Consider the following 19,374-nt stretch of genomic DNA (forward strand, 5'->3'; position numbering starts at 1 on the left):
CACAGGAGTCAACAGTGAAACTGGGCCAAGGACCCATGTCTCTTACTCTTAACACAGTGTTTCTTTCTAGTCCTGTGTTTTTCTGTACTATGTACCTACTATGGATCATGCCCTGTGTTTTGCAATGAAGACCTCTAACTTTATTTCCATTCCAAGGAGAGGGAGGTTTCAGCACACTCCTGGAACAACCAGCTTTCTTTTCCCTTCCGCCTAGTGCTGCCCCCACCTGCTTAGGGCTTTCTTTTTTGGCTTCACCAATTGTTGCTCTTTGGCATGAAGAGATGCTTTGTGAGCCAGATGGGTCTCTGAACAGATGTCTTTGATGGAGAGTTTACCACTTGCACAGCCAAGAAAGGGAAGTCACTAGAAGGACTTCTGTGTGGGCTGGCCTGGCTGCTCAGCATTTCAGACTCCTGTTGTTTACAAGTCTTCTCCAGAAGCCCTGGAAGAATGAACTGTAAGGCCTGGACTATGGAATGGTACCTGTGCACCAGCAATTCCTGAGCAAGCAGCACAGTGAGTAGGTGATTCCTGGAAACCTGAGTTCAGGTGAAAATGAGAGAGAGCAGTCTCCTTGTCCCTGCCTATGGGCTTCCTCATGGCCAGTTCTACCTCTGTTCTAAATATATTCTTCACTGATGAAATTTCAACTTCATTTATTCTTCTGTCCTTGAGGAAAAGTGGGGAAGAGTAAAGAGGTCTTTTCTCTGCCTCAAATTTTTATTTGTTCTTATTTGTTGATACTTATTTGCTGGAGATAGCTTAGTGGTTTTTTTCTCTTTCTTTTTGAGACAGGGTCTTGCTCTGGTGCCCAGGCTTGGAGTACAGTGGTGCAGTCATGGCTCACTATAGCCTTGGCCTCCTAGGCTAAAGCGATTCTCCTGCCTCAGCCTCCTGAAGTGCTGAGACTACAGGCATGAGCTGCTAGGCTTGGGTTGATTATTTCAATTACCATTTGCTATGTAACGAGGCTCCAAAACTTAGTAGTTTAAAATAATAATTTATTACCTTACACAGTTTATTACTTTTTCTGTGGGTTGGCAGGTCCTCTTTCCCCATCCTCTGTGAGGCTAAAGCCCTGGTTTCTTCCAGTAGCAAGAGGGGGTAAACCCTACTACTTAAGTACCCTTTAAGCCTCTGCTTATGTCAAGTTTGTTCATGTCCATTTGGCTAAAGCGGGTCATGTGTTTCAAGCCAAGATTTAAAAAGTAGAGTGAAGTCTCCATCTCTTGTTGGGAGGAGCTATGAAATATGGTGGCCCGTTTTTTTCCACTGTATCACAGTGATAAAGTTGAAGGTTCAAATTGTGACTGTGCTACTTGTTGTGTAACCTTGGATGAGTCATTTAACTTCTCCAAACCTCAGGAAAATGGAGAAAACAGAACCTACCTAAAGGGTTGTATGCAGATTAATTAATACATACAAAGCACTTAGAATAGTACTTAACATGTAGTAGGCACTTAATACATTTTACCTGTTGCTTAGATAAATTGGTAGAGGTTTTTATGATTACCAGCAACAGAAACCAGCCTGACTTGGTTTAAGCTTCTAAAAATTTATTCATTAGAAGGATCTGGCTGGGAGCGGTGGCTCATACCTGTAATCCCAGCACTTTGGGAGGCTGAGGTGGGCAGATCACAAGGTCAGCAGTTTTGAGACCAGCCTGGCCAACATGGTGAAACCCCATCTCTACTAAAAATACAAAATTAGCTCGGCGTGGTGCCGTGCGCCTGTAATCCCAGCTGCTCGGGAGGCTGAGGTGAAAGAATTGCTTGAACCCAGGAGGCGGAGGTTGCAATGAGCCGAGATCGTGCCACTGCACTCCAGCCTAGGTGACAGAGTGAGACTCTGTCTCGAAAAAAAAAAACAAAAAAAGAAGGATCCAAGGGAAGTTCAGAGAGTCCTTTGACAAGCTGATCCTACAAACCACGGTAGGGTGGGAACCAAGGCTACTCTAGTTGGGAGGTTGGCTCAGTCAGGCAGAGAAATAGCTCCCTGGCGTACAACTCTAACAGTGCTATTGCTGCTGGGCCAACTGTCCTCTCCTAGCCTTATTTAGGGGGTAGGCATGGGCTCAGTGATCTCCCAGAGGGGTCCAGAGTCAGTGCCTCTGAAGAATCCACTCTCACCACAGTCATGCAGATATCAAGGGGACAGCATCCTCTCCTGCTCAGTGTTGGGGGCTAGTTGATAGTCCATTGCCTAGTCCAGGTTGAAAGTGATTTCTGAGTGTGCCCTGCTCTAATAAAAAGTAACGTACAAAAATAGTTTATAACACAAGGTGCTCTGGGTGCAATGTTTTGCTCTTTCAAAGCATTCACTCTAGGTAGGATTCTTCAAATAGAAGTTTTCATAGAATCTTGAAAAAGGCAAGCAAATTACATCAATTTGATTCATACATTTCTTCTTAGGAATATGTCAGTGATTTAAAGGTAGGTATTCCTGCACTTAGGAATTTTTAAATGAGAAGAAGTGCCTCGTGGTATTTTGAGGAAGATTAGCTGTTTTCAGGTACCATTTAGTTACTGTTTTTCCACCTAGGTGGTAGCCTCTTGAACATTTTTCAGTTATCTTTCTTCAGCTGGGTGAGTATGTCCTGGTCCTAGTTTGGTACATTGCCTTGGTTGTACACATGGTAGTTTTCCTACATTTCTAATGTGTCTGCACCAGGTGGGAACCCAAAGGCAAGCATGTTCTCACCCTCATTCCTGAAGTGATTTGTCTCTGCCATAATGGAGCAGGACTTCTTGGGCAGAATAAGTTCAACTGACAGTCCCAGTGCCGAAGCTCTGGCTAGCTCAACTGGTCCACTGTGATTTGTTCTGTTATTATACAGAACATTGTATTCTATTTCCCCTGGGTGTTCAAAGGGAGAAACAATCTGTGTGGTTTAGCCTGATGTATGTGATTTGTGAGCTGTTGATCAGGGGGTGGGTATAGATCTGTCACCCCTTTGGGGAGTGTTAAGTTTCTCTAAAATCTCTGGGTGACATTCTGACAGTCATGGGTAGGTACAGGTATATGCTCCTCCGTGTCTATTCGCCTACCTCCTCAGTCTTTTCCCCCATCAAAGAGAAGTAATTCATTTTGTAAAATATTTATAGAATACCTGCCAAGTGCAAGGTATTAGGTGAATTACTCGTTAGGCATAAAGTTGGCTCATAAATGAATTGTGTCCTCCAGGAGCTTAGAGTCTAATGGGAAAGGGACATATCTGTAAATGACTCTTGTATATTGTGGAACATAGCCAATATCATTTTTTTGTGCGTGAATCACTACCCTGCCAACTTTCAGATAGAATCCGATGTGACATAGTGACATAGATTATTAGTCAGAATTCTTTGGTGTGGCAGAAACCCACCTCAAGATTACTTAATCAGAAAAGAGAATGTATGGTTTGGGTCACCAGGAGGTCGGAAGGCAGGGATGAATATGAGGTTGAAATGATGGCCTCAGGTCACCTCTCAGCTTTGCTCATTCTTGTGTGGGCTTCCTTTTCAGTCAGATTCTCTTCACTGGAGGCAGGATGGACCTCACTAGCCCCAGACACATCTAGTCCTTAGTGCTCCCTATCCCAGAGAAAGTACTCCACCCACTCTCCCCAGCATCCAGATCAGTGTTTGAACCACTGATTGGCAGACTGCCTCTGCTTGGAGTGCTTGCCCATGGCTGGACCATTCACTGTGTCCAGGGGACTAGTGTTGCCTGGTGGGCCACCCTGGGTTATACACTCACCCCTGTGGTACAACAGATGGCGCCTCTTGATGAACACCCTAGCAGAAACAGTTGATGCTGGGGAGGAGTGTATCCCAAATGAAAAGGAGGGGCTTTGTTACCAGGAGATGGGGAGAATGAATGGGTGCTGAAAGCAAGCAAATTTTTAAAAAGTTTTCCGCTTACAAATTCTGTTAAGCATTGGGTCAGAAAGACAAAACACTAACATAGGATGAAAACAACAAGCAGTTAACACAGGTGTGAGCAAACTGGTCCATGGGCTAAATTTGGCCTGCTGCCTGTTTTTGTATGGCCTGCAAGCTAAGAATAGTTTTCAAAATTTTGTGACATGTAACAATTATACAAAATTCAATTTATTATTATTTTTATTTTTTGAGACCGAGTCTCGCTCTGTCACCCAGGCTGGAGTGCAGTGGCGTAATCTCGGCTCACTGCAACCTCTGCCTCTCAGGTTCAAGAGATTCTCGTGCCTCAGCCTCCCAGGTAGCGGGGATCACAGGCATGTGCCACTACGCCTGCTAATTTTTTTGTATTTCTAGTAGAGACGGGGTTTCCCTATGTTGCCCAGCCTGATCTCAAACTCCTGGGCTCAAGTGATCCACCTGCCTTGGCTTCCCAAAGTGCTGGGATTACAGGCATGAGCCACTGTGCCCTGCTGGAAATTCAGATTATTGTGTCCATAAATAAAGTTTTATTGGATCACAGCCATGCTTGTGTAAATGTTGTCTGTGCCTGCTTTTGTGCTATAATGGTAAATTTGAGTAGTTACTTGTGAAAGAGATGACTGTGTGGCCCTCAAAGCCAAAAATATTTACTCTCTGGTCCTTTTTTTATAGAAAAATCTTCCTAACCAAAAGGGGAAGGAGAATCCCTTGACAGAAGCTTTAGAATTTAAGCACAAAACTGGGCTTTTAAGCACAAAACTATGGTGGCTGTAGCCTGTAATCCCAGCACTTTGGGAGATCAAGGCGGGTGGATCACCTCAGGTCAGGGGTTCGAGACCAGCCTGGCCAATGTGGTGAAACCCCGTCTCTACTAAAAATACAAAAAATTAGCCAGGCATGGTAGCAGACGCCTGTAATCCCAGCTACTCAGGAGCCTGAGGCAGGAGAATCACTTGAACCCAGGAGGCAGAGGTTTCAGTGAGCCGAGATCGTGTCACTGCACTCCAGCCTGGGTAACAAGAGCAAGACTGTCTCAGAAAAAAAAAAAAAAAGAATTTAAACACAAAACTAAACTTTTAAATGTGTCAGCTTTAAGTTCTCAAGGAAAACATGATAAGTGACGTGGGTAGGAGACAGGATTATTTTTCCTGATCCTGGAGCTCTGAAAAGAATTAGCTGCCAAAATTTATGTCGAGTCTTTTCATCTGAAGCTGAACCAAGTAGGTAGTTGTGCTGTGAGTTAAAAAGGGTTGGAGGTGAAGAGGGCGCTAGGATACTGCTCTCTTTCATTCTATTTAAAGCAATAATTTGCATTGCCACCCTGCCGTTCTTAACCTGCTCTAATTATCAAGGCCTTATTTTGACTAAGACCCTGAAAAAGCGTTGCATGATTTAGATCAATACGCAGTTCATCCAACTTAGCCGTAAATTATTTCTGCCTTGGAGTTGTTAGCTGATAAAGATCAATAAATGTTAACAACAGTTTTAAATTATAACTCAACTTGTTTTTCTTTTCCTTCTATCTAATGAAACCATGTGTAACCTAGATTTTTAAATTTTACGTATTTATGTGTGACATGTATGTGTGTATGTATAAATGAACGAATGACAGGTCTCGCTCACTCTGTCGCCCAGGCTGGAATGTGGTGGTGCGATCATGGCTCACTGCATCCTCAACCTCCCCAGCTCAAGCGATCCTCTCACCTCAGCCTTCTGAGTAGCTAGGACTACAAATATGTGCTATCATGCCTGACTAATTTTAAAAATTTTCTTTTCTAGAGATGCGGTCTCTCTCTGTTGCCCAGGTTGGTCTTGAACTCCTGGACTCAAGTAATCCACTTGTCTGGGTCTCCCTAAGTGTGGGACTACTGGTGTGATCCACTGTGCTTAGCTGCCAGCTTAGATTTTTGAGGGGTACATAGCCCACTGTAATTGGATACCTCTCTTCAGAGCCATAGTAGCTTATTATACCTTGGGGCCATCCTGCTTGGAGTGTGCCTCAAAAGTGTTCCTTTATTCCCTAGGTTAGAGAGTTATGTAAAAACGGGGCTCTCAGGTCAGAATGAGATTTAAGGCTTCTGCAGAGCCTATATGAAAGTGTTTTTGGGCCGGGCACAGTGGCTCATGCCTGTAAGCCCAGCACTTTGGGAGGTTGAGGAGGGCGGATCATGAGGTCAGGAGATCAAGACCATGCTGGCCAACACGGTGAAACCCCGTCTCTACTAAAAATATAAAAATTAGCTGGGTGTGGTGGCACACGCCTGTAATCCCAGCTACTTGGGAGGCTGAGGCAGGAGAATTGCTTGAACCCGGGAGTCTGAGGTTGCAGTGAGCCAAAATCGCCACTGCACTCCAGCTTGGCAACAGAACAAGACTCTGTCTCAAAAAAAAAAAAAAAAATGTTTTTGGGCTGGGCACAGTGGCTCATGCCTATAATCCCAGCACTTTGGGAGGCCAAGATGGGTGGATCACTTGAGGTCAGGAGTTCGAAAACAGCTTGACCAACATGGTGAAACCCCGTCTCTACTAAAATACAAAAAAATTAGCCTGGCATGGTGGCGGGTACCTGTAATCCCAGTTACTCAGGAGGCTGAGGCAGGAGAATCACTTGAACATGGGAGGTGGGGGTTGCAGTGAGCCAAGATCACACCACTGCACTCCAGTCTGGATGACAGAGCAAGACACCATCTCAAAAAAAAAAAAAAATTTTTTTTGTATCCTTTTCCTGGGGAGAGCTGGGAGTCTCCAAAGTGTCTCACGGTGTCCCAGTGACAGCCTCCAGCAAATGGGGTCTTCAGCAATGGTCAGGATTACAACCTCTAAATTCTTCCTCTCCATTCAGACTTGTTGGCACTGATAGCAAGATCTGAAGTGGCTTGTTTGGTTTTGTTTTGTTGTTTTATAAGCTGTTTGTAGCAGACTCACACGTAATGATTTGAGTGGTTTCTTCTGCAATTTTTGCAAGGAACTATGCTGCCTCTGCCAGGCATCGCTGAGCAGAAGTCAGAGTGGCCCCTGCCTCCACCAGCCTGAGGCTACACACAGGATTCTGTTCTGAGCATGGTTCCTATCTGTGTGTGACTAAGGACTGTTGTCTGATCCTTGAAACACAGAAGGTTGCCCATGGTATATACACAAGGTGCTCCTGGCTACATCTCTCTCCCATCACAGCCATCCCATAGCTGTGTGGCTTACACAGGAAGGGATTCCTTTTGACTGTGTCAGACTGCCCTGCCTTAAAGATGGAGGGAGACAGAGTGGCTCATTAGTAGTGGAAAATTCAGTATGCTGGTCTCTTGGTTAGAAATGTGAGTCTCGTTTTATCTAGAATTATTTCATCTGCTAGATTCACAGTGATGATTATAGCTCCAGGTGAGTTTGTCTCTTAGCTCCTTAAGAGAGGCTTAGATCTCTTTAGGGAAGCATGGAGGAGATGGTATTTGAGCTGAGCTTTGAAGCATAGGTAGAAGTTATATATGTGGCAGGGTCAGGGAAAGGAATTCCAGGTAGAGGGAAGCATGAATCATGGCATAGAGGCAGGAAAACACAGACATGTTTTTACAGGAAATAGCAAGTGGTTCAAGTTGTCTACAACAAAGGGTTCCTGATGGCAAGGGGTGAGAATTAAAGTAAGAAATAGTTGAAGCAGTGAGGAGGGTCTTCACTGCCATGTTCAGGAAGTGGATTTTATCATGGGCAACAGGAAGCAGTGGAATGATCCTGCACAGAGAAGTGAGATGTGCTGTGGTTTAAGGAAGAGGACTCTACTGTTACGGCTAAGGTGAGCTGGAGAGGGGAGAGGTCAATTAGGAGGCCGTTGCTATGGGCCAGTGAGAGATAAGGGGGGGTCTGAGTTAGGATAGTGGCAGAGTGAAGGGACAGGATGGGGACAGATGGGAGAGAGATGGTGCAAAGGGCAGGGACTGGTGTGGGAAGATGGGTAGGGGAGTAGCAGGGAGACTTGGCCTTGGCCCTTCCTGGGGTGGTTGTGGTGGGAAGGAGCCTGAGGCCCATGGCCGTGCTCCAGGGCTGTACGTGGAGAGCTGTGTTCTCCTCCTCCTCAGATCACAAAGCCTCATTTCTAATGGAAACCTGAGGCTGGGGCTGCCCTTTCCTAAGTTACAGATTATTTCCTGAGGAGGATCCCAGCCCTAAGAGAGCTGGTTTGATTTGAAAATCTGGACACATAGGAATGAAACTCAGAGTGAATTTTATTAACCACTACCCAAAGCAAGATGGAACTTAGCTCATGATGCCCAACACCATAGAGGAACAAGAGTGGGCTGGGCGCAGTGGCTCACGTCTGTAATCCCAGCACTTTGCGAGGCTGAGGCAGGTGGATCATGGGAGGGCAGGAGTTTGAAACCATCCTGGCCAACATGGCGAAACCCCAACTGAAAATACAAAAATTAGCCGGGTGTGGTGGTGGGCACCTGTAATTCCAGCAGGCTTAGGCACGAGACTTGTTTGAACCTGGGAGATGGAGGTTGCAGTGAGTCAAGATTGCGCCACTGCACTCCAGCCTGAGTGACAGAGTGAGACTCTGTCTCTAAATAAATAAATAAATAAATAAATAAATAAATAAATAATAAAATAATAATAGAGTCTAGTGATATAGCTCAGCTTGAGGATGGGAACCAGCATAAGGCTTGATAAGACCAAACTAATTAGAAACAAACACGATGGAATTTTCTTTTTTCATTTGAAAAAACATTTCAAAGTTTATTGTTGGAGGTAAGTGCTTACCACCCTGTGAAGTGCGTGCAGGGCTGTCATTAGGTGGTGGTAACAGGCACCAAATCCCCAAGAAGCTGCTACCCACCAAGTGACCTCCGAGCCACTGTGTCCTCTCCCTTTACCTTTCTGGCTATGCATAGAACCTTATGGAAGTTTCCTTCTAGCCTGGCTGTTGGCTTCCTGGGTGATCCTGGCAGAGTTGTTTATTATTTCTGAATCTCACCTTCTTTTAGAGGTAATCTCAATTCCTTTTCCATCTCCTGGAACTGTCCTCAGGATCAGATGAAACTCTGACCAAGTGTTGTGTAATAGCATTAAAGTTATGGCATTTAAAAGCACATTGCGTATACAATGCTGGGCTCCAAAGAGGCAGAAGAGATAGTTCCTATCCTCTTAGAGCTGTGAGTCCTAGTTGGAAAAGCAAGACTGTACTTTACAAGTCAGATGAAAGGTTTATGGGTGAATTAACACATGAGGTCTGGGATTTGCCTTAAGACATTCCACTCCCTCCCACCCTGCAAAGAAAAAGCTGGGGGTTATAATGAAATAAGATTGGGGCGGGGCACAGTGACTCACACCTGTAATCCCAGCACTTTAGGAGCTGAGGTGGGTGGATCACCTGAGGTCAGGAGTTGAGAGTAGCCTGGCCAACATGGTGAAACCCCATCTCTACTAAAAATACAAAAATTAGCTGGGCGTAGTGGCACATGCCTGTAGTCCTAGCTACTCGGGAGGCTGAGACAGAATTGCTTGAACCCGGGAGGCGGAGGTTGCAGTGAGCCGAGATCGCACCAGTGCACTCCACCCTGGGCGACAGAGCAAGACTCTGTCTCAAAAAAAAAAAAAAAAAAAAGATTGGTAAAAAAATGGATTATTGTTGAAGCTGGGTGATGGGTACATGGTTACTGTCTCTACTTTTGTGAATATTTAGATTTTTCTGAAAAAAAAAAATTGGCTAAAAGAAAATAGCATATGTACTGACATAACAAGTGACATACATGATAAAAAACCTCAAGGGTTCCAAGGAGAGGGACTCTTGTGGGTGGACAGCTGTCAGGGGAGGCTTCACAGAGGAGCTGGGAGCTGGGCTTTGTTTCAGTGAGGATTCTTGGTTACACATAACAGAAACCAACTTGAGCCAGTGTAAACACAACAGGGGACTTCCTTATAGGGATCCAGGGGGCCCTTAGGGAACGTGAGGACCAGATGTAGTCAGTGCTCGGGAAGGGATGGGACAAGACAGGGACCAGAAAGCCACTGGAATTCTAGGCGGCCTTCCTGCTTATTCTGCGTGCTTTGCACTTGTTTCTTTGCTTCTCTGTCCAGAGGGCAGGAGGAAGACACCACCTCTCAGCAACCAGTGTGTATCAAGTCCATCCCAGACACAGCCCAGATTCAACCTGACCCTCTTAGCACAATTCCCAAGTCTCTGAGTAATCCACCAACACTTATATAGTGTACATTGTGGGTGGGGCTCCTTCGGGTGAGTGAAGGGAGGTAATTAGGGGGATACATCTGAATTAGGAAGCCCTCCTTTCTCCCTTCTTCATTTGTCTGAATCAGACTGGAAGGACAGTAGGATATACGTGAAGAGAGAAGATATCTCGATTGAACAGTAAGTGCTTCAGAGTCAAACACGAAGGGAACATATATGGAACAGTATAGATCCTCCTGGCACTGAGGGGGTGTGAACCCCAAATATCTGAGACTACTCTCAGTTAATTTAGAAAGTTTATTTTGCCTAGGTTGAGGATGCATGCCCATGACACAGCCTCAGGAGGTCCTGACAACATGTGCCCACGGTGGTCAGGGCAGGGGTTTTTTCATTAATTTTTGAAACGGAGTCTCACCTCTTGTTGCCCAAGCTGGAGTGCAATGGTGCGATCTCGGCTCACTTCAACCTCCACCTCCTGGGTTCAAGCGATTCTCCTGCGTCAGCCTCCCGAGTAGCCGGGATTACAGGCGCCTGCCACTACGCCCGGCTAATTTTTTGTATTTTTAGTAGAAATGGGGTTTCACCATGTTAGCCAGGCTGGCTTCAAACTCCTGACCTCTGGTGATCCACCTGCCTTGGCCTCCCAAAGTGCTGGGATTACAGGCGTGAGCCACCACGCCTGGCCAGAGGTTGGTTTTATACATTTTAGGGAGTCGTGAGACATCAATTAATATACGTAAGATGTACACTGGTTCTGTCTGGAAAGGCAGGCCAGCTCAAAGCAGGGAGGAGGCTTTCAGGTCACAGGTAGGTGAGAGACAAATGGTTGTTTTCTTTTGAGTTTCTGATTAGCCTCTCCAGAGGAGGCAGTCAGATATGCATTTATCTCAGTGACTTTGAATAGAATGAGAGGCAGGTTTGCCCTAAACAGTTCTCAGCTTGACTTTTCCCTTTAGCTTAGTGATTTTTGGGGGCCCCAAGATTTATTTTCTTTCACATTTCCCCCCTTTTCTTTTTAAAAACTTTTGAGAAAGCATTTTAGAAGAAAATGAATCTTTCGTCTCAGGTTTCATCGGATCTCTCGCGGCTAGGACAGTTTATTCCTAGACAGGTAGGTAGGTCCCAAGTTACTAGGAAAGCTCATTTTTAGCAGGTTGTGGTCTCATGTCCTATGATGAGAAAATAGGGGGAGAAAGGGAGAAAAACTACAATAAACAAAAGAATAATTCTGGAAAAGTGATATAGGCCACATTATTCTGAAGTCCATACATCAGTAGGCAGGTATGAAGGTGGCTTATGTATGCTGTTATTTTCTTTTGAAGTTGTCTAGCTTCGGTTCACAGGGCTTTAAGAAAGCACAGCTTAGTTTTCAGTAATTTCAAATTAGGAAAGATGGGAAAAAGGAAAAGAAATTGAAAACATTGTTTTTTTTGTTTTTGTTTTGAGACGGAGTTTTGCTCTTGTTGCCCAGGCTAGAGTGCAGTGGCGTGATCTTGGCTCACTGCAACCTCTGCCTTCCGGGTTCAAGCAATTCTCCTGCCTCAGCCATCCTGAGTAGCTGGGATTACAGGCATGCGCCACCATGACCGGCTAATTTTGTATTTTTAGTAGAGACAGGGTTTCTCCATGTTGGTCACGCTGTGGTCTCGAACTCCCAACCTCAGGTGAATCCACCTGCCTCGGCCTCCCAAAGTGCTGGGATTATAGGTGTGAGCCACCGTGCCTGGCTGAAAACATTGTTTTAGAGACCTGTAGCCAGGAAAAATTAGAATTAAGTCCAAACTGTAAAAAATGATAAAAATTGAAAAACTAGGTAAGACTAGAATCTAACAGGTGTACTATAGCCAGGCACAGTGGCTCACACCTGTAATCCCAGCACTTTGGGAGGTAGAGGCGGGTGGATTACCTGAGGTCAGGAGTTCAAGACCAGCCTGGCCAACATGGTGAAACCCCATCTCTACCAAAAATACAAAAAAATTAGCCGGGCATGGTGGCGCATGCCTGTAATCCCAGCTACTTGGGAGGCTGGGGCAGGAGAATCCTTGAAACTGGGAGGCGGAGGTTGCAGTGAACTGAGATTGTGCCACTGTAGCAGGACAAGTCGCAGACAAAACCCCTCAGACACCGAGTTAAAGAAGGAATGGCTTTATTCGGCTGGGAGCTTCAGCAAGACTCACATCTCCAACAACCAAGCTCCCCAAATGAGCAATTCCTGTCCCTTTTAAGGGCTCACAACTCTAAGGGGGTCCACGTGAGAGGGTTGTGATCGATTGAGCAAGTGGGGTACACGACTGGGGGCTGCATGCACTGGTAATCAGGTTGGAACAGAACAGGACAGGGATTTTCACAGTGCTTTTCTATACAGTGTCTGTAATCTATAGATAACATAACCGATTAGGTCAGGGGTCAGTCTTTAACTACCAGGCCCAGGGTGTGGCACCAGGCTGTCTGCTTGTAGATTTCATTTCCGCCTTTTAGTTTTTACTTCTTCTTTCTTTGGAGGCAGAAATTGGGCATAAGACAATATGAGGTGGTCTCTTCCCTCACCACCACACTCCAGCCTGGGCAACAAGAGCGAAACTCCATCTCAAAAACAACAACAACAACAAAAAAACGGGTGTACTATAGTTTTTGAAACGTATTTTTTCTCTCTCCACTTTCCTGTTTTTACTAAAGACAAATCATGGTAGGACCAATTTGCTTTATTATACTTGGACAGATTATTTCTATGAAGTACAGTAAGAATAATTATTTTTCACATAGGCTTTTAAAATTGGCCTTGATGGAACTTTGCTCTGTAGAAGGAATCTCAGATAAGACTTTTTTTAAAGATAAGACTTTTTTAAAGCTGAGCCCAGCCATGGATTTGTACCATCAAATACATACAAGTTGGGTGAATTCCTCTCCTCTTGATGTCCCAAGATAACTTGGGGCTCCTGGGCCTATCAGAAAGTGACATTCTTTACTTACCACAGGCCAAGATCCCTGTACAGGGACTGTGTAGACAAGGTATGAGGCCAGTTTTCCCAAGGGGCTTTTATTGGCTTTATAAATCAAGTTGGATTCCTTAAAGGAAAGCACACCATTCTAGTCAAAGCCTTGGTAAAACAACCAGTTTCTCCAATTGTGTCCTGTTACAAATGAAAACAGATTTTTATTGCACATATGCAGATAACTATATTGCCGTAAGTTAAGAATACTCCCACATAGTTTCCAAATTCTGGAGTAATCAGGTAGAGAGAAACAAATATGCTTCAATTTTTTTCATAGGCGTATGTATACTTTATTGTTAAAACCTGGCTGGGCGTGGTGGCTCACGCCTGTAATCACAGCACTTTCGGAGGCTGAGGCGGGTGGATCACTTGAGGTCAGGAGTTCAAGACCAGCCTGGCCAACATGGTGAAACCCCATCTCTACTAAAAATACAAAAAATTAGCTGGGCGTGGTGGTGTGTGCCTGTAGTCCCAGCTACTCAGGAGTCTGAGACCCAAGAATCACTTGAACCCTGGAGGTGGAGGTTGCAATGAGCTGAGATCATGCCACTGCACTCCAGCCTGGGCAACAGAGCGAGACTGCATCTCAAAAAAACAAACAAATTGTTAAAACCTGTCAATAGCTCAAAAGAAAAGTTTCCGTGACTCTGAAAAACAACACAAAGAATCAGCAGCATTTAAGCAAAAAAATAAAAAAGATTACTTCAGTCTCCTGTAAGTTCAGTTCATGCAGTTAATTCCTGTTCTGCTTGATATTCATGAACATTTCAGCTCTCCATGAGTCATGAAAGTTTTTCCTCTGTTTTGATGTCACAGTCTTTAAAGTTATCAGAAGCCTGTATTCAGGAGCACCTGTTAGAGTTTTATAGTTGATTATAAAACCACCTTTTAAAGAGAAACTGCAGGGCTGGGCATGGTGGATCACCTGAGGTGAGGAGTTTGAGACCAGCCTGGCCAACGTTGTGAAAGCCTGTCTCTACAAAAATACAAGAAATTAGTCTGGGTGGTGATGAGCACCTGTAATCCCAGTTACTCGAGAGGCTGAGGTAGGAGAATCACTTGAACCCAGGAGGCGGAGGCTGCAGTGAGCCAAGATTGTGTCATTGCATTCCAGCCTGGTCAACAAGAGCGAAACTCCGTCTCAAAAAGAAAAAAAAGAGAAACCATCATTGCAAAATTATAACTGAGACAGTGAAAAAGATCTGACCGAACTGACTCCATGTTGCTTCTAATCTCCAAGCTGTCCTTGTTCATTCCTGGGCATAGACAGAACTAACTTTGGGAGGAACTTAGTTTATAGTTGAGCTTTGAAACAAAGACGATAACAGCCTTTTCCCCAAACCCCCTTCCTGCCTGGGGACTAGGCTGCCTAAAGCCACATGATTAGAAGTTATGGTTATTTTACTAAATAATTCAAGACTTAGCTATTTTCACTAAACCAATGTCAGTCTCTTTCAATATTTACAGAAGCAAAGATCTTTTTTTTTTAAACAAAGTCTGGCTCTGTCACCCAGGCTAGAGTGCAGTGACATGATCTCAGCTCACTGCAACCTGCGCCTCCTAGGTTCCAGTAATTCTCCTGCCTCAGCTTTCTCAGTAACTGGGATTACAGGTGCCTGCCACCACGCCCAACTAATTTTTGTATTTTTAGTAGAGATGGGGTTTTACCATGTTGGTCAGGCTGGTCTTGAACTTCTGACCTCAAGTGATCTGCCTGCCTTGGCCTCCCAAAGTGCTGGGATTACAGGCATGCGCCACCGCGCCCGGTGGCTCACAAGCAAAGATCATCCTGTTTTGGGCTGGGTTTATAGTTTTGTAATCCCTATGCCAAATTTTGACACCTTATAATATTTGGCAGGGATACATATGAAATTTCTTGATCAAAAAATGCAAACAAAAATGTACCCTGGCTATTCTTAAGGCATTTCTAATAGTACTTTACCAACAATTTTAAAGGTAGCTTATCTATCAAAGATTTTACGTAAACTTGAGAAAACATTTGACTAGTCTTTCATTTTCTGATAAGGTATTTGATTTGTGCTTTTATTTTTCCTTAAGCCAATTAATTAGAGCTGTTTTATATTTTTTAGTAGTAAATCATTGTGTACACAACACATAAATACGTGGACATATTAGACATACTGATAGAAGTACATCTTAAAGGTAAGACAGACCTCCTTTTTTTTTCCCCCCTTCTGTCTAAGACTTGCAAACTCTTGATAACCTGTTTCATTATGCTTGGCAGTTGTCAGCTAAATAGCTCCTAAATCTGCGTATTGAAGGACACAACTCTTTGGTGAAAAATCAGATAGCAAAATTTACATCATAAAGTACAGAGAGGAAAAGTCTGGTGGTGCTAGAGGAAGATTAAAGGTGGATGCCAAATCAAACATACAATTATAGAAATCTATCATAGGATTGTATAAGGAGACCAATTTATTTAGATAGGTACTACCTATCTTAACTGGATCTCTGAGTTCTGAGTAGAGCCCACACTGAATTCTGGGTCTCCAAAAAGGAGGCTAGACCACATGATGCTTTTAAAAAAAATTTTTTTTTGGCTGGGCGCGGTGGCTCACACCTGTAATCCCAACACTTTGGGAGGCCGAGGTGGGCGGATCACGAGGTCAGGAGTTCAAGACCAGCCTGGCCAACATGGTGAAACCCCATCTCTACTAAAAATACAAAAATTAGCTGGACGTGGTGGTGCGTGCCTGTAATCCCAACTACTTGGGAGGCTTAGGCAGGAGAATCGCTTGAACCCAGGAGGCGGAGGTTGCAGTGAGCTGAGTCTGTGCCACTGCAGTGAGCTGAGTCTGTGCCACTGCACTCCAGCCTGGCAACAGAGCAAGACTCCGTCTCAAAAAAAAAAATTTTTTTTTTTGGCTGAGCACAGTGGCTCATGCCTGTAACCTCAGCACTTTGGGAGGCCGAGGCGGGTGGATCATGAGGTCAGCAGTTCCAGACCAGCCTGGCCAACATGGTGAAACCCCGTCTCTACTAAAAATACAAAAATTAGCAAGGCATGGTGGCAGGCGCCTGTAACCCCAGCTACTCCGGAGGCTGAGGCAGGAGAATCGCTTGAACCCAGGAGGTGGAGGTTGCAGTGAGCCGAGACCGTGCCATTGCACTCCAGCCTGGGCGACAGAGCAAGACTCCGTCTCAAAATAAAAGTTTTTTAAACAAAGACATTTCTAAGTGTCTAAACTACACTCTTCATTAAAAACCCAAGAGTAGCCTCTGTTGCAATAACTATTTTAGTCAGAAAATCAGGTAACACAATACAAAAGCAGTTTAATAGCTGAGAGGAACTTGTTTATACTCTTGGGGAGACCCATAAGGAAAAACAGGTTTCTCCCCCAAAGGGAGTCTGGTGCCTCCTTTTTTTTTTTTTTTTTTTTTTTTTTTGTTGAGGAACTCCAGGCTATTATAAACTATTTTAGGTTTCTCATGCAGCAGAGGGTGCAAGAGAAAGGAGAGAGAGCAGAAGTAAATGAAGAAAACAGAATTCTGTCAACTGAGAAGAAGAAAAATTTGTCTCAAAAAAAGACAGGGTCCTAGACAGAGAAAAAACAAACCCAAAACATAAAATCCTTTTAAAGACACACACACACACACACACACACACACACATATCGGATGTTAGCTTTTAATTAAGCTGACTTTTAACCATTGAGCTCCTTTAAAAAAATCTGTTTAAATCTCATTGCCGTATTTCTGCTTGGACAAATTGCTGCTGTTTCAGAAGTACCAAATATCAAACCTTTCAGAAAGGGCTTGATTTAGGAACCAAACCTAGGCTGTCATGAAAAAAAGAAGGCAGAACCTTATGTATGGAACTGCAGCCTGAGGTGATAGCTATTGCTCCTTCAGTTTGGCCTGGCTAGCAAAAACGTGGCATTGTTTTGTGAATAAAGCCCCTTAAGGAGTCAAATAAAAAATCTTTCCTTTTTTTCTTTTGCTGGCCGTTTTTCTCCCTCCACCATGCCACTTTTTTTTCTTGTTTTTTTTTTTTTTTTTTTTTTTTGTGGGAATTTAGCCACTTCAGAGGCCTCGTTCCCCATAATTTGGAACTTTCCTTCAAATTTGATCAAGTTGCATAGAGTTGGTCAAACCCAAGGGGAAAAAGACCGAAACAACAACAAAAAGAAACAGTAAAGCAAAACAAATGATCACACAACCTATACAAGTACTGAGAGCTCTAATGGTAAGGAGAAATTAAGACCAGCTGGTTGTTAATCATAACTGTAGCCAAGACAAACCCTAATTCAGTTACTTAGGGATGGGTTTCATGCTGAAGACTGCCCTCTACCATCCTAGAAGCAGGAAAAGACTCAAACCTGTCCTCCCTGTTGGAAGCAAGCTCAAAACTCCGTAAAGGAGTTACTTGCCTTCCATTGTCACGGAAGCAGGAAAACTTGCCTTCCTTGTGTCGGAAGCAAGTAAAACTCAGAAACAAAAAAGGAGTTGTACAGCAAAATAAACTTTAGATCACCTCCAAATTTTGGGAGATCGGGGATTCTCTGGAGGAGGTGCTTCCAGGCGTCAGCAAATTGTCTGATTGGTTTGAGGCACAAAGATAGCTCAAGCTGGTACCAGCCACCAATAGGAGATTTGTCAAAGGTCAGGGGCACCTCCACTCAGAATCCCTTGGTGGTTACCAAAATGTGAACCCTGAATAACTGAGACAGGTCTCAGTTAATTTAGAAGGTTTATTTTGCCAAGGTTGAGGACCCTGTGACACAGCCTCAGGAGGTCCTGATGATATGTGCCCAAGGTGGTCCAAGCACAGGTTGGTTTTATACATTTTAGGGAGACATGAGACATCAGTATATGTAAGATGTTCCTTGGTTCTGTTGGGAACGGCAGGACAACTTGAAGCAGGGAGGGGGCTTCGAGGTCCCAGGTAGGTGAGAGACAAACACTTGGATTCTTTTGAGTTTCTGATTAGCCTTTCCAAAGGAGGCAATCAGATACGCATTTATCTCAGTGAGCGGAGGGATGGCTTTGAACAGAATGAGAGGCAGGTTTGCCCTAAGCAGTTCCCAGCTTGACTTTTCCCTTTAGCTTAGTGATTTCTGGGGCCCCAAGATTTATTTTCCTTTCACAGGGGCCATGTTATGTAGAAGCCAGGCTGAGAAGGAATCTGATTCCTTATATTGGTTATATTTTTTTCTGAAATAAATGTTAGCTTTTATTTTCCCTCCAAGCTGCAAGAGCCATTGAACTCTGACTTCTGTGCTTCTCACATTTAAAGCCTCCTGATTTGAGTACTTAGTACCTGCCAGACATTAGCAGGTAGGAGTTACTATTCCCACCTGACAGTCAAGGAAAGGCTCAGAGAGGTTCTGTAACTGGGCTGGGGCCACAGAGCTAGTAGATGATAGAGCTAGGATTCAAACCCAGATCTGCCTAACTTCAGATCAAGGTTAGTGGTGCTGTTTCCACACCACCCTAAATGGCCTACTTAATAATGAAATTTATGATGCCAGCTGATGATAAGAATCACTGGGTGTTAAGATTCTTGGTTGCTAATGAACTTGAATTAGCTCAAACAATAAAGATGATTTTTTTTTTTGTATCAGCTAACCAAACCCCAGGAAGGATAGAAATACAGCTGGCCTGATGGATAATTGTATCCAGGGACTCAAATGCCATTAGCTCTTATACTTTGATTAAAATATACTTTAAAAAGATGCTGTTAGTGGCCGGGCATGGTGGCTCACCCTATAATCCCAGCACTTTGGGAGGCCAAGGCGGGCAGTTCGTGAGGTCAAGAGATTGAGACCAGCCTGGCCAACATGGTGAAACCCCGTCTCTACTAAAAATACAAAAATTAGCTAGGCGTGGTGGCAGGTGCCTGTAGTCCCAGCCACTCAGGAGGCTGAGGCAGGAGAATCGGTTGAACCGGGGAGGCGGAGGTTGCAGTGAGCTGAGATCGCGCCATTGCACTCCAGCCTGGCAACAGAGCAAGACTCCATCTCAAAAAAAAAAAAAAAAAAGATGCTGTTAGCTAGCCTGGCCAACATGGCGAAACCCCATCTCTACTAAAAAATACAAAAATTACCTGGATGTGGTGGTGGGTGCCTGTAGTCCCAGCTATTTGGGAAGCTGAGGCAGGGAGAATTGCTTGAATCTGGGAGGCAGAGTTGTAGTGAGCTGAGATCGTGCTACTGCACTCCAGCCTGGGCGACAGTGTGAGACTTCGTCTCAAAAAAAAAAAAAAATGCTGTTAGATCTCTCCCTCTCACTTGTTTCCCTTTCGATGTTGGCTTTCTTCTCTCGGGCCAGCTGTCTACCAGATGGAACC

The 19,374-nt window shown here is 44.4% G+C and overlaps 1 protein-coding gene across 4 annotated transcripts in view, besides 2 other annotated features; it reads left to right on the forward strand.

Annotated features, from left to right (window-relative positions):
- The window catches only part of MAP2K1 (mitogen-activated protein kinase kinase 1), a 104,633-nt gene that overhangs the window by 66,116 nt on the left and 19,143 nt on the right, over window positions 1–19,374 (forward strand). The gene's annotated exons all lie outside the window — the stretch shown is intronic.
- Window positions 17,794–18,471: an enhancer, noted in NCBI's record as "OCT4-NANOG-H3K27ac-H3K4me1 hESC enhancer chr15:66763159-66763836 (GRCh37/hg19 assembly coordinates)". NCBI's record gives its function as "activates a minimal SCP1, AML or CMV promoter by ChIP-STARR-seq in naive H9 embryonic stem cells {active_cell/tissue: H9 hESC(naive)}" and the evidence as "EXISTENCE:reporter gene assay evidence [ECO:0000049][PMID:30033119]".
- Window positions 19,258–19,357: an enhancer, noted in NCBI's record as "active region_9613". NCBI's record gives its function as "activates an Ori minimal core promoter by ATAC-STARR-seq in GM12878 lymphoblastoid cells {active_cell/tissue: GM12878}" and the evidence as "EXISTENCE:reporter gene assay evidence [ECO:0000049][PMID:35858748]".

Source organism: Homo sapiens, chromosome 15 (assembly GCF_000001405.40).
Source record: "Homo sapiens chromosome 15, GRCh38.p14 Primary Assembly".
Taxonomy (NCBI): domain Eukaryota; kingdom Metazoa; phylum Chordata; class Mammalia; order Primates; family Hominidae; genus Homo; species Homo sapiens.